Raw genomic sequence first — 15,105 nt, 5'->3', positions numbered from 1 at the left:
TATCACATTTATTGATTTGTGTGTATTGAACCACCCTTGTATTCCTGGGATAAATCCCACTTGTTCATGGTGTATTATAGTTTTGATGTGATGTTGGATTCAATTTGCTAGTATTTTGTTTAGGATTTTTATGTCAATATTCATCAGGGATATTGGCTCTTAGTTTAATGCTTTTGTTATATCTTAGTCTGATTTTGGTATCAGTGTAATGCTGGCCTTATAAAATGAGTTAGAAAGAATTTTCTTCTTTTCTATTTTTTTGGGATAGTTTGAGGAAAATTGGTGTTAGCTCTTCTTTATAAGTTGGGTAGAATTTGTCCGTGAAGCCATCAGGTCCTGAGATTTTCTTTGTTGGGAGTTTTTTTGTTGTTGTTGTTTGTTTGTTTGTTTTCTGATTCAATCTTGTTATTGATCTGCTCAGGTTTTCTATTCCTTCTTAATTCAGTCCTGGTACCTTGTCTGTGGCTGGGAATTCATCAGTTTTCTCTAGGTTTTCTAGTTGATTGGTGATTGTTTGTTCTTTGTACATCTGTGGTATCAGTTATAATGTCTCCCTTTTCATTTGTATTTATTTGGGTCCTCTCTCTTTTTTTGGTTAGTCTAACAAATGGTTTATCAATTTTGTGTGTCTTTTTAACAAACCAACTTTTCATTTAGTTTATCCTTTCTACTTTTTTAGTCTCTATTTTGTTTAGTTCTCCTCTGACCTTTATTGTTTCTTTCCTTGTGCTAATTTTGGGTTTGGTTTGTTCTTGCTTTTCTAGCTCCTTGAGGTACATCACTAGGTTGTTTATATTTAAAATGTTTCCCTTTTTTGACATAGGCATTTATTGTTATAAACTTCTGTCATAGCACTGCTTTTGTTGTATCTCATAGGTTTTGGTATGTTTCCATTTTCATTTGTTTCTAGAAATTTTAATATTTCCTTCTTAATTTCCTCATTGACCCAGTGGTCACTCAGGAGCATATTAGTTAATTTCCACGTATTTGTATGATTTCCAAAGTTTCTCTTGTTATTGATTTCTAGTTTTATTCCATTGTGGTCTGAGATGATACTTGATATAATTTTGATTTTTAAATTTTGTTGAGACTTGTTTTGTGGCCCAAGATATGGTCTGTTTTGGAGAATGTCCCACATGCTGATGAAAAGCAAATGTATTCTGCAGTTGTAGGATAAAATGTCTTGTAAATGTCCGTTAGGTCCATTTGGTCTAAAGTGCAGTTTAGATCCAAAGGTTTTTTGTTGATTTTCTGTCTAAATGATCTGTTGCTGAGAGTAGGGTGTTGATATCCCCCACTATGATTATATTGGAGTCTATCTTTCCATTTTGATCTAATAATAATTGCTTTATCTATCTGGTTGCTCCATTGTTGGGTACATATGTATTTAGAATCATATCCTTTTGCTGAATTGGTTCCTTTATCATTATATAGTGAACTTTTGGTCTCTATTGTCTCTTTTTACAGTTTTTGACTTAAAGTCTGTTTCATCTGATGTAAGTATCACTACACCTGCTCATTTTTGGTTTCCATTTTCATGGAATATTTCTTCCCATTCCTTTACTTTTAGTCTGTATGTGTCTTTACAGGTGAAGTCAGTTTTTTTGTAGACAGCATATAGTTGGGACAGTTTTTAAATCCATTCAGCCAGTCTATATCTTCTAAGTAGAAAATGTAATCCGTTTACATTCAGTGTAATTATTTATATGCAAGTTCTTATTCCTGTCATTCTATTAGTTGTTATCTGATGGTTTTGTATATCCTTTCTTCCATTCATTCTCCCTTTTTTATCATTGTGGTTTGGTGGTTTTCTGTAGTGGTAACATTTGAGTCATTTTCTTCCTCATTTGTGTGTTTGCTTTACCGGTAAGTTTTATACCTTTGTATGTCTACATGATACCAACCTTTGGATTCCAGGGGGCTCCCTTATGCATTTCTTATAGAGCTAGTCTAGTGATGATGAATCTTTCAGTTTTTGCTTATTGAGGAAGTCTTAATTTCTCTTTCATTTATGGAGGATAACTTTGCTGGATGTAGTATTCTCGCCTGACAGGTTTTTATATTTTTCTTTCAGCACTTTGAATATATCATTCCATTATCTCCTGGACTGTAAGGTTTCTGCTGAGAAATTCACTGTTAGTCTGGTTGGGCTTCCCTCATATACAACTAGATACTTTTATCTTGCTGTTTTTAGAGTTCCTTCTTTGTCTTTGACTTTTGACAGTTTGAGTATAATGTGTCAGGGAGATAACCTTTCTGGGTTGTATCTATTTGGGGATCTCTGAGCTTCCTGTATTTAGATGTCTAAATTTCTTGCTAGACTTTGGAAATTGCCAGTTATTATGTCATTAAATAGGTTTTCTATGCCACTAATCTCCTCTTCATCTCTGGAACACCCAAAATTTCAACATTTGGTCACTTTACAGTGTCCCATATATTACAAAAACCTTCTCCTGTCTCTCTCTTTCTTTTTGCCCAACTGGGCTATTTTGAAAGACCCGTCTTCAATTTCTGAAATTCTTCTCCTAGATCTAGTCTGTTATTGAAGCTCTAGATTATGTATTTTCCATTTATTGAAGCTCTAGATTGTATTTTTTTCCATTTGTTGAATTCTTCAGTTCCAATGTTTCCGTTTGGTTCATTTATATGATACCTATCTCTTTGGTGAATTTCTCATTCATATCTTAAATTGTTTTTATGATTTCTTTATATTATTTATCTGTGTTCTGTTGTATCTCATTGAGCTTCTTTAATATCAATATCTTGAATTCTTTCTCAGGGACTTCATGACTTTATTTTTCATTGGAATCTGTTGCTAGCTAGTGCATTATTATGTTTTTTTTTGGAGGTGTTATGTTTCCTTGCTTTTTTTATTTCTTATATCCTTTTGTTGATATCTGTGCAACTGGTGTAACAATTGCTTCTTCCAGGTTTTTGTATTGGCTTTCATAGAGGAAGACTTTTTCTGTAGATGTATTTATGATGTTGGGTATGGTGCTTTAGGTTTGATTCCGAGTGTGTGCACTAGTGTAGTGTGTTAGTCCATTTTGTGTTGCTATAAAGAAATAGTTGGGTTTAGGTAATTTATAAGGAAAAGAGGTTTATTTTGGTTCATGGTTCTGCAGACTGTACAGGAAGCATGGTGTTGGCATCTGCCTCCAGTGAGGACTCAAGAAGCTTACAATTATGACAGAAGGCAAAGGGGGAGCAGGCATATCATATGGCAAGAGAGGGAGCAAGAGAGAAAGAGGAGGAGGTGCCAGGTTCTTTTACACAACCAGCTTTCATGTGAACTAATAGAGTGAGGACTCATTTATCACCAAGCCATACATGAGGGATCCTCCCCCATAACCCAGATACCTCCTACTAGGCCCCACTTCAACACTGGGGATCACATTTCAACATGAGACTTGGAGGGGACAATACATCCAAACCATATCATGTAGTCTCTGTATGGGCTATGAACACTGTCAGTGGTATCTGTGATTTCGTCAGCAGCTTAGGCTACAATTGTTAATGGAGGCTTCTGGAGATGGGAGGCCAGGTAAGCCAGTCTTCAGGTCCCAGTGGTGGCAGCAGTAGGCCAAGTGTGCTTGTCATTGGGTCCCCAAGCAGTATACATGGGCGTTAGTGTTAGCAAATCCAGGTGGGCTAATTTTGGGGCCTCAGGCAGCTTGCTTGGGTCCAAGTAGTTACAGCCATGGGCCAGGCAGATCAGTGAGTCCTTGGGCCCCTGAACAGCATGCATAGGGTGGGTAATGGTCATTGTGGTGGCAGGGCAGCCCTTGGGCTCTCAGGTAGCACTCACTAATGTTAGTGGTGGCTGCTCTGAGCCGGGTGGGCCATTCCCCAGGTTCCCAAATGGAGTGTGTGGATGGGTGCCAGCAGTTCTGGTGGCGGCAGGCTGACCAGTCCATCCTTGGGCCCACAGGAAGATTGTGCAGATCCCAGTGGTGGTGGATAAGGCAGAACAATCCCCAGGCCTCTGGACAGCATGCTCGGGTACCAGCAGCAGGTTTTCTGGCCCTGTTATTAGGCTCCCATTGTGGAGTGCATGCCTTCCCAGAAGATTGAGGTGGTGGAGTGATCCCCAGAACCCAAGTTGATGAACTCAGGCACTTGGGGAGGGGGAGAGTGCCAGGTGGGGCAGGCCTGTTTTCATACCCCTTGGGGGTGTGCATAGGTGCAGGCTGTGGTGAGCAGGATGGGGCAATCTCCAGACCTTGGGAGGTGTGCTTAGATGGAGGCGGCAGTGATGGCATTTGGTGAGTAAAATCTATCCTCAGGGTGCATGCAAGTGTGTGGTAGTACTGCTGCTGAGGGAATAGGGTTGCTGTCTGCTGCAGCCACCCTGGGCAGAAGGCTCTCTAGCTCTGGGGGGCACACATCTGGGTGACATCTGGGTGTCACTTGCCACCAGCAGTGACAGCAGCAGGGGAAGGGATAGCCTGCCCTCAGGACACATACAAATGTACTGTGATTCAGTTGCTGGTTGGTGCCAGGTTACTGTCAGTGATAGTGGTCCCAGGCAGGTGGGTTTCAGGCTCTGGGGAGTGTGTGCTTTGGCTCCCTTTGTCCCAGGGGCAGTCTCCCCAGTGTATTGCATCACCCTTTTCCTAGTGTACAGGATGGCATGTGGGCTAGAGTGCTGGGGACCCTGCTGCCCCAATGGGTTCATCCTTAATTGTGCTGCTGCAGCCCTCTGGGTGGATATAAGGAGATGTCATTTGGGCTTCAGGGAACTCCCTATTCCAGTCCCAGGGCCCATAAGGGTCGAGTTACTCGTCTGTGCTCAGGATTGCAGGAGTCATCGTGTGAGTGTGGACCACTGGGGATCTCTCACTTACCATTTCCTGGCACTGGCTCCCTCACCCTTGTGCCTGGGGCACTCTCTAGGATCCTGGTTTATCCTAACCAGGCCATCTGCCTTGCCTCCTTCTTCATCAGTGCCCCAGGTGTTATATGGTACTTCTCTGCTTAATTCCAGCATTTTCTCTTAGATATTCGATTCAAGGTGTGAATCTGATTATCAACTCACTATTTTGGTTCTTCTTTTTGGAGGAGGCAGGTGTCCTGTGCCTCTAGTTAGCCATCTTGAAACTCTCTCAGAATTTCTCTATTCTGGTGTGCATTTCTCTGAACTTCTATAAAGTCTGAATACCCAGGCTCTCAGCATACCTAGGCTCTTAGAATGCCCAAAAAAGGTACCTAGAAGTAAGACTTCAAAAGATGACTTTTCTGGTCCTGGAGAACAGAGCTACACAGTAGTTTTTTTTCTATACCTGCTGTTTCCTAGTTCTTGGCAAGCCTGTGGGAACTGACTTTCCACTAGTCTTGTCAGCCTTGGATTTATTACTGCAGCTTCTGCTTCCTCAGCTACTCTCATACAGGTCCCATGATGCTGGCAGGTGCCATCCTACTGTAGTTCCCAGAGCCATCAGGATGTGAGTATGGACAACCTCAGTCCTGACTGTCCCTCACCTCTTTCCCACCCCTACTATCATCCTGTGGGAGTCAGAATTATGTCTCCTTGTGGGCTTGAGATCCAGAAGGACTTAATAGAGACTGAGTACCTCTATTGCTCCCTGTGTATTACTAGCCACTGCCAATCAGACCTTGGCCTCTAACCTCTTTGGAAGGAACTTGAGCAGCATTATTATATTCATTTTTGCCTCAGTCCACAGGTTATAACTTCTGCTCTTATTCCTCATATTACTGTGGATTTCCATGGTTTAAGAACAAGGGACCTAGAGACAGAATGTGTAAATTTATTACAATTCCCAGCAGGATATTGCTTCTCTCTTCTGTCTCCTGCAGGACCAACCCACCCCCTCACTGAGTGCCTTTGAAGGAACTCCCATAGCACAGTTGTAATGACAGCAGGAGTACAAAATGTAGGAGGAAAGGAGGGTAAGGGAGTGTGGGAGAGACAGCTGATATTGATATACCTGGGAGCTATATCAATATGGGCAAATTACTTCACCCAAATAACCATGGTTGGCCTTTAATAACTACTCAATACTAACCAGTAGTGGTGGTAGTAGTAGTAGTAGTAGGTGGCAGCAACAGCAGCCACTGTGGTAGTGATAGCAACTGCCTTATCTGCTATCCAGGAATGGAATCTTCTCTTTATCCACTCAGGACTGGTGGATTGAACTCTACCAAAGAAGATCTTTCCAAATGTTATCCACAACTTGATTCTTAAATTCCTCAATATGATATAACCTGTCTGACTGGAAAATGTCATGTCCCTTGGCCCTGTGACTAGCCATCCTGCCCCCACCACCCTATCTAAGCTGTTCCTATACCTGGGCCAGTTCCCTCCATCGTTGTTCTTTTCATGTGGGAGTTTAATGCCAAAACCCAGGCCCAGCTACTTTGCTCTGTGCATTTGCCGACAGTGAGGCCTGGAAGATGCTTATATTTTGAGGTCTGAGAAGTGTTCCTTCTTTTTATGATAGTTCAGGTCCTGGTAGTGTGGCTTGGGAGCCTTCACCCTCCTGAGAACTCATTTGCTATCCTGGGGAGCGGCTATCTCTTCCACACTCTTACCCTCTTTTTCTCCTACATTTTGTACTCCTGCTGTCATTACAATTGTGCTATGGGAGTTACTTCAAAGGTACTCAGTGAGGGGGTGTGTAGGTCCTGTAGGAGACAGAAGCACTACCCTCCTACTGGCTGATTTCACACTTAATTGGAAATTAACCTTAGACTCTTGACTGTCCAAGGTATATTTATATTCAGCAAGAAATCATGTTATTTTTCCTTAAGTGAGGAAGAAATCACAAAATATCTTAAGAAATGGGTCTAAAGATCCTTTAAATGGATTTGAGCTCTGGGAATAAAGCATAGGCAGCTAAGTAGGTAGGCTACTCCTACTGTGACATAGTGGGGAGGGGACTTAGCCTGCTATGGTTTGAATGTGTTCCCCAAAAAGCATGTGTTAGGCCAGGTGCAGCAGCTCAGGCCTGTAATCCCAGCACTTTGGGAGGCCAAGGTGGGCAGATCACTTGAGGCCAGGAGTTCGAGACCAGTCTGGCCAACATGGCAAAACCCCATCTGTAACAAAAATATGAAAAAATTAGCTGGGCATGGTGGCACACAACTGTAGTCCCAGCTACTTGAGAGGCCTAGGCATGAGAATCGCTTGAACCCGGGAGGCGGAGGTTGCAGTGAGCCACGATTGCACCACTGCACTCCAGCCTGGGTGACAGAGCAAGATTCTGTCTCACAAACAAAACGAAACAAGACAAACAAAAAAGCATGTGTTAGAAATTTAATCTCTAGTGCAGCAATGTTGGGAAGTGAGGCCTAATGAGAAGTATTTAGTTCATGAGGGTTCCACCCTCATGTATGGATTAATGCTGATTATAAAAGGGCTTGAGTTTGTAAGTTTGATTCCTTACTCTCTGTCACCCTCTCTTGCCCTCTCACCTTCACCATGGGGTAACACAGCAAGAAGATCCTCACAAGATGTCAGTTCCTTGATCTTCGACCTCCCAGCCTACAGAACTGTGTGCCAATAAATTGCCATTCACCGTAAATTACCCAGTTTCAGGTATTCTGTTAGAGCAACATAAAACAGACTAAGACACTCCCTTTGCTCCACCTTCAGCAGCATAGCACACCCAGTGAAAAGCTGCATTCCAAAATACCAACTCAACCCTGGGTTTTGGGGGCTTTGGGTATTAGAAAAGTTTTCAGTAATGAAAATATGCCATCTTTGCATAGGCTAAGGAGTCTCACAGGCCTCCATGGCTATCTTGGCTTTTTCCATTTATTGACTATGTGACTTTGGACAAGTAATACTCTTTCTGGATCTCAATCTCTATCTATAAAGAGTGTGCCCAGTGCCTAAAGCAAGCTGGGAATCGGGAAGGTACAGGGCCATCTCCAGCCTATATGGAGCCTTTATGTTATTTGGAAAAGACACTCCTTGCTCAAGACACTTTATGGGCATCTGCCAGATAATTGTAATAAATATATATCTTCAATAGAAATGTGAGAGGCACTCCTAGATGTGACCATCACAAGTGTATTCATTGGAAGATGCTCAGAAGAGCAAAGGAGGTGAAATAATCATAGGACTAACTGGGGCATTAATGAGCGTGCCTCAGATCTATCTAAGGTCTAGAAGGTCATTCTATAGATCAAAGCCCATGTGACTCAGGAAGGAGTTATGGAGGCTTAGTGGGAAGGAGGGGCTTTGGATTTTTAATTCAAATTAGAAATATACTAACTTACATTTTCAAATCCCCCAAAAATCTTTAAGATGCTGATTGGCAGCTGAGGAAAAGAAATAGTCAATAAAGGAGGGAAGAGACCTCTGCTAATTTCTCAATCCTCATAAAAGCCTTGGGAGAGATAGTGTTATCCAATTTTAGATATGAGGAAACTGAGTCTTTGGAAAGTTAAATAATTTACTTCAGATTACATAGATATTAATTGATGGTGTTGGGATTTGACCTCAGTTGTGTCTAACACCAAAAATAGTGCTTTCCCTTTTCTGTGTTAGCCAGTTTTCCAGAGAACCAGAGAAGAGGACACACACACACACACACACACACATATATATATATATCTCCTATTTTAGAGATATTGCAGGTTTGGTTCCAGACTACCACAATAAAGCAAATATTGCAATAAGTCAAGTCACATGAATTTTTTGGTTTCCCAGTATATATAAAAGTAATGTTTACACTATACTGTAGTCTATTAAGAGTGCAATAACCTGATGTTTAGAAAAACAATGTACATCCCATAATTTAAAAATACTTTGTAACTAAAAAATGCTAACAGTCATCTGAGCCTTCAGCAAGTCATAACTTTTTAATGGTGGAAGGTCTTGTGTGGAGGTTGATGGCTGCTGACTGATCAGGCTAATGGTTACTGAAGGCTGGGGTGGCTGTGTCAATTTCTTAAAATAAGACAACTATGAAGTTTGCCACATCAATTGACTCTTCCTTTCAGAAAAAATTTCTCTGTAGCATGTAATGCTGTTTGATGGCATTTTACCCACAGTAGAACTTCTTTCTAATTTGGAGGTAATCATATTACCTTGCCACCACTTTATCAACTAAGTTTACATAATGTTCTAAATTCTTTGTTGTCATTTCAACAATGTTCATGGCATCTTCACCAGAAGTAGATTCCATCTCAAGAAACCACTTTCTTTGCTCATCCATAAAAGGTAACTTCTTATCTATTAAACTTTTATTATGAGATTGCAGCAATTCAGTCACATCTTCAGACTTCATTTCTAATTCTAGTTTTCTTGCTATTTCTACCACACCTTCAATTACTTGTTCCACTGAAGTCTTGAACCCTTCAAAGTCACCCGTGAGGGTCAGAATCAACTTTTTCCAAACTCCTGTTAATGTTGGTATTTTGACCTACTCCCATGGATCAAGAATGCTGTTAATGGCATCTAGAATGGTGAATCCTTTCCAGAAAGTTTTCAATATATTTTCCCAGGTCCATCAGAGAAATTAATATTTATGTCAGCTATAGCCTTACAAAACGTATTTCTTAAACAATAAGAATTGAAAATCAAAATTACTCCTTGATTCAGGGGCTGCAGAATGAATGTTATGTTAGCAGTCATGATGACAACATTAATCTTTTTATACATCTCCATCAGAGCTCTTAGGTGACAAGGTGCATTGTCAATGGGCAGAAATATTTTGAAAGGAATCTTCTGAGCAGTAAGTCTCAACAATAGGTTTAAAACATTCAGTAAACCATGCTGTAAACAGGTGTGTTTTCATATAGACTTTGCTGTTCAATTTATAGATAATAGGCAGAGTAGATTTAACATAATTCTTAAGGGCCCTAGTATTTGCAGAATGGCCAGTGAGCATTGGCTTAAACTTAAAATCATCAGCTGCATTAGCCTGTAACAAGAGAGTCAGCTTGATCTTTGAAGCTAAACATTGACTTCTCCTCTCTAGCTACATAGCTACATGGCATCTCTTCCAATATAAGACTATTTCATCTACATTGAAAATTTGTTGTTTAGTGTAGCCCCTTTATCAATTATCTTAGCTAGATCTTCTGGATAACTTGTGCAGCTTCTAAATCAGCACTTGCTGCTTCACCTTTCACTTTTATGTCATGGAGATGGCTTCTTTCCTTAAACATTATGATCCAACCTCTGCTAACTTCAAACTTGTCTTCTATATCTTTCTCACCTCTCTCAGCATTCATAGAACTGAAGAGAGGGGCTCACTCTGGATTAGGCTTTGGCTTAAGTGAATGTTATGGCTGGTTTGATCCTCTATCCAGACCACCAAAAGTTTTTTCATATCAGCTATAAAGCTGTTTTGCTTTCTTATCATTTGTGTGTTCGCTGGAGTAGCATTTTAAATTTCCCTTAAGAACTTTTTGCTGCATTCATAACTTAGCTGTTTGGTGCAAGAGGCCTAGCTTTCAGCCTTTTTCAGCTTTTGATATGTCTTCCACACTAAACTTAATTATTTCTAGCTTTCGATTTAAATTAAGAGATGCGTGTGATTATTCCTTTCATTTGAACATTTAGAGGCCATGGTAGTGTTATTAATTGACTAATTTCAATATTGTTGTACCTCAGGGCATAGGGAGTCCCAAAGAAAGGGATAGAGAAAGGGAACTGCTGGTCAGTAGATTAGTCAGAACAGCACAACATTTACTCATTTAGCTCACTGTCACATAAGAGTGGTTTGTGGCACCCCAAAAGAATTATAATAGTAACACCAAAGATCCCTGATTACACATCACCATAACAGGTATAATAATAATGAAAAAATTGAAATATTGCAAGAATTACCAAAATTTGACAGAGACACGAAGTGAACACGCTGTTGGAAAAATCGTGCTGATAGACTTGTTCAATGCAGGGTTGCCACAAACCTTCAATTTGTAAAAAAACACAATATCTGCTAAGCACAATAATGTGAAGTGAAATAAAAGGAGGCATAATTCTGTTTGTGTTTGCATGTGTATATATATGCATATATATACATATGTCTCCATGTAACCACCATGTGTATGTGTGTGTATATATATATGCATATATATACAGTTTGTGGCACCCCAACAGAATGATTGATTGATAGATAGATAGATAGCTAGATAGATAGATAGATTTATACATGAAAGAATTTATTTTAAGGAATTGGCTAACTCAATTATGGAGGCCAAGAAGTTTCATGATCTATCATCTGTAAGCTGGAGATCCAAGAAAGCTGGTGGTGTAATTCAGTCTGAGTCCAAGGGCCTGAGAACCAGGAGTGCAACAGGCAGGAGAAGATCCATGTCCCCACTCAAGCAATCTGGCAAGAAGAGAAAGAGGAAAATTCCTCTTTCTGCTGCCTTTTTGTTTTATTCAGGCCCTCAACGGATTGCATCATACCTACCCACATTGGGGTAGGAATCTACTGATTCCACTGATTCAAATGCCAATCTCATCTGGAAACACCCTCACAGACACACCCAGAAATAATGTTTAATGTGGGCACTCTATAGCACAGTTAAATTGAAACATAAAATTAACCATCACACTTTCACAACATAACATAACTGTTGGGTGTTTGGGTGTGTGTTCAATCAGTCTATTGGAAGCACTAGGCTGGTGGCAGAGTCTTGGAGAAAACAGAGCTGCAAAACTCATATTCAAGGGTTCATGCTTTCTGGCTTGGTAAAGAGTAATAGCCAATACCTAGGCCATGGTGAATACACAGGGCACATATGTGCAACCAGGGTTTTCCAGGTGACCATCAGCTTTGCCCCACTCATGCAAGTGTCTTTGGCAGGAAGTGGAGACCACATTGTCCACTTGTCCCCCTGCCCCAGACTTCCAGAAAACTGTAAGGCATCTACACACATATGAATTTTTATACATAATATATATCTTCCCTGGTTCCAGGTCAGGGATATGTGGTCCACGAACCCCCTCTTTTCCCTTGCTACCTTCTGAAACCAAGACGTAGCTTTTGTTTTGAGCCAGGCAGTGCTATGCCCAGCTTCCATAATCTATGGTGAAGGTCCCAGTCTTTCAGATAACCATCTCAATTCTTGTTATTATCTCAGCAGCAGTCTCCAGATCTGATGACGGAAGGGAGGTCAGAGAGAGCTGTCCAAGCAACATCCAGTTGCAGTGAGGGAGCAAGGGAGTGTGGGCACAGGGATCCAACCCAGGACACAGACATCATGTACTTTCTCTGTCAACCTTCCCAAGCTTTACAGGTTGTCCTTTTTCTAAAGGTTAATCAATGGCCTTATCCTTTTTCCAGCATCAGGAGAAAAGCTTATTTCCTTTTAGGAGAGCATTTCTCCTCAGCTAGTTCCTTTCTTTTCCTTTCCAGGTCTGCAAAAGGAAGAATTCAATGTTGAAGGGGTAGAAAGGGTCCTTCATCTATTTAACAAACATATAGCACTCACTCTGTGTCAGGCATTGTTCTCAGTGCTTTTCAAATATGAATGCATTTAAACCTCATGACAACCCCTGTTCTTATTTTAAAGATGAAGAAATTGAAGCACAGAGAGGTTAAGTAACTTGCCCAAGTCATATAGCTAAGAAGTGGTGGAGCCAGATTAAAACCCAAGCTGCCAATTCTGAGCTTTTAACTACTGTATTATACTACCCAAATAGTATGGTAGCAGAGAATATGAACTTTGGTAGTCAGGGAGAGCCTGGATTCCAGTGTCTGTTCTGACACTTGATAGCTTTGTTATACTCTGGCAAGTCATTCCCTTCTCTAAGTCTTCGTTTCCTCAAGTGTAATATGACAGTGATAACACATACTTCAGTGCCTTGTCTGGAATAGGTATTCAAAGTTGGTGACTCTTATGGCCGGGAGCGGTGGCTCACGCCTGTAATCCCAGCACTTTGGGATTCCGAGGCGGGCAGATCACGAGGTCAGGAGATCGAGACCTTCCTGGCTAACACGGTGAAACTCCGTCTCTACTAAAAATACAAAAAAATTAGCCAGGCGTGGTGGCAGGCGTCTGTAGTCCCAGCTACTCAGGAGGCTGAGGCAGGAGAATGGCCTGAACCCGGGAGGCGGAGCTTGCAGTGAGCCGGGATCGGCCGCCATTGCACCCCAGCCTGGGCGACAGAGCGAGACTCCGTCTCAAAAAAAAGAATAAAAACAAAGTTGGTGACTCTTTTTATTTTCCTTAGGCTTGGTATCAAACTATGATTAGTGTCTAGATTCAGTGGCCAAGTCAACCTAGCTTGTGCCAGTGCTCAGCATGCATGAGTTGGCACTATGGGTGGCATTCAGTCCTACTGGAGTGCCAGATTTCTACCCGAGGAACTGATGGGGATGGCACTTCTGAAGATGGAATTCTATCAGAATTAATCAGCCATATGGTTCTTTCTCCACCCATTGGGAAGACATGGCCAGTAGGAGGTATAATTGCACGAAAGGACAGCATTGTCCCCAGCCAAGAATTCTCATTTATATCCCTGCATGCACTGCTGAAGGAGCCCTCTGGCCACAAGTCTGCCACCATCACCCTTTGTTAATGGACGGGCCGGTGGACTTAGTTGGAGATGGCTTCTTATCTCACAGATGTATGGAATCCTAGAGCTGAAAGATACCTAAAAGTCATGTATACAGATTCACCATCTAACTGGGCATTGTGAAACACCCAAGTTCTTGACTCAGACAGACATGGATTCAAATCCTCTCTCTTTTATTCATTAGTGATAAGTGGGCAAATTTCTTCTCTGAGCCTTCATTTTTTCACTTGTACAGTTGATATAAGTGCTCATCTTCGAGGATTGTTGTGAGAATTCAATGAAATAAGGTATCTAACACATAATAAATGTTCAAGAATGGTAGCTATTAATTTGAACATCATCTATACGGAAGACAAACACACCTTCAGGAGTTCTCCTCTTCCAACAAAATCGATTTGTAGAGGCTACTCATGACCAGCTTATACAAGGTTTTTCATATGAAGGGTCATATAAGACGCTTTGCTATGCAGCCCTTGTCTCAGCTCCTTCCTGTACCTCATCACCTCATCCACAGCCACATACTTTACATTCTGTGAAAATTGGACCTGTGGATGTTATAATTTATGTTTATAAAGGTCCTTGTGGGAAATAAAATTGACAGTTTTCAGAAGTTTGGGCAGGATTAAAGGTACCAACAAGAGACGATGAAGCACTCAATGTCTAATAATAGCAAGAAGCCATTACACCCTTGGTTTGGAGGGGTAAAGGCATGGGATAGTATTACCAGAGCTCAGTGAGAGCTGAAACTGTGAAGAAGTCTCTATTAAGAGCTGTAGCCAGGGAAGATTCCAGTAAGTGCCAGAAATGAGGCCCAAAGCAGAGAAGGAGTAGGAAAGAAATACCAGGACCGTCCTCTCCTCCCACTCTGATATGCCAGTGCCTCCCAATAGCCAAACCCAGCCAGAAGCCAGCAGACAAGGGCAGCCAGTTGATACAGTCTACAAGGTCAGCTTGCTGGGAAACAGAGCAGGGAAGAGAAGGGTAGGGAATGGATCTGGGGGTGGGGATGATAGCCAGAAAATGACCAATATTTTCATCTTTTCTACTGCCATCCTTTTCATATTTGGTTCCCGAAACCTATAGTGACCTGTGAACAGATGAGCACCTGTTCACATTAAGGGCTTGCTCACATATCATGGCCCTAAGAAAACCTTCTCCATTTCATTGTGATCACTCCTTCCCTAGTCATACTTATTCTAGCATTGGTAACACTGTGTTGCATCTGTGTGTATTTCTGCTTGTTTTTCTGAAGAGGCCATGAATTTATCGGGAAGGAGCCGAGTTTTATTCAACTCTGTGTTCCAAGCCCTTATTACAGGATTTGACTCAGGTGTGCCCCAATAACGTGGGATACACTGAACTGATCATCCCTATTCTAAAAGCTTTCCTGTGGAGCAGTGTTTTCAAGATTTCCAGACATCCATTAAATTTTCATCAATATCCCTTAGGCCTCTGTCCCTGACAGCAGCCTTTTCTAACCAGCCAGATGCTGTGGCACAAGCAGCATCCCTTAGAGTTAGCTTCATTTGGAGGCCTCGCAGAAACTGTCTCTTAGCATTTCCCAAAAGCTTTTAAAACCAGTTTTCTCTGAAAAGAAAAAT

The sequence above is a fragment of the Homo sapiens genome, chromosome X (assembly GCF_000001405.40).
Source record: "Homo sapiens chromosome X, GRCh38.p14 Primary Assembly".
Taxonomy (NCBI): Eukaryota; Metazoa; Chordata; class Mammalia; order Primates; family Hominidae; genus Homo; species Homo sapiens.
The sequence above is the reverse complement of the archived record's forward strand: the minus strand, read 5'-3'. Positions refer to the sequence as shown.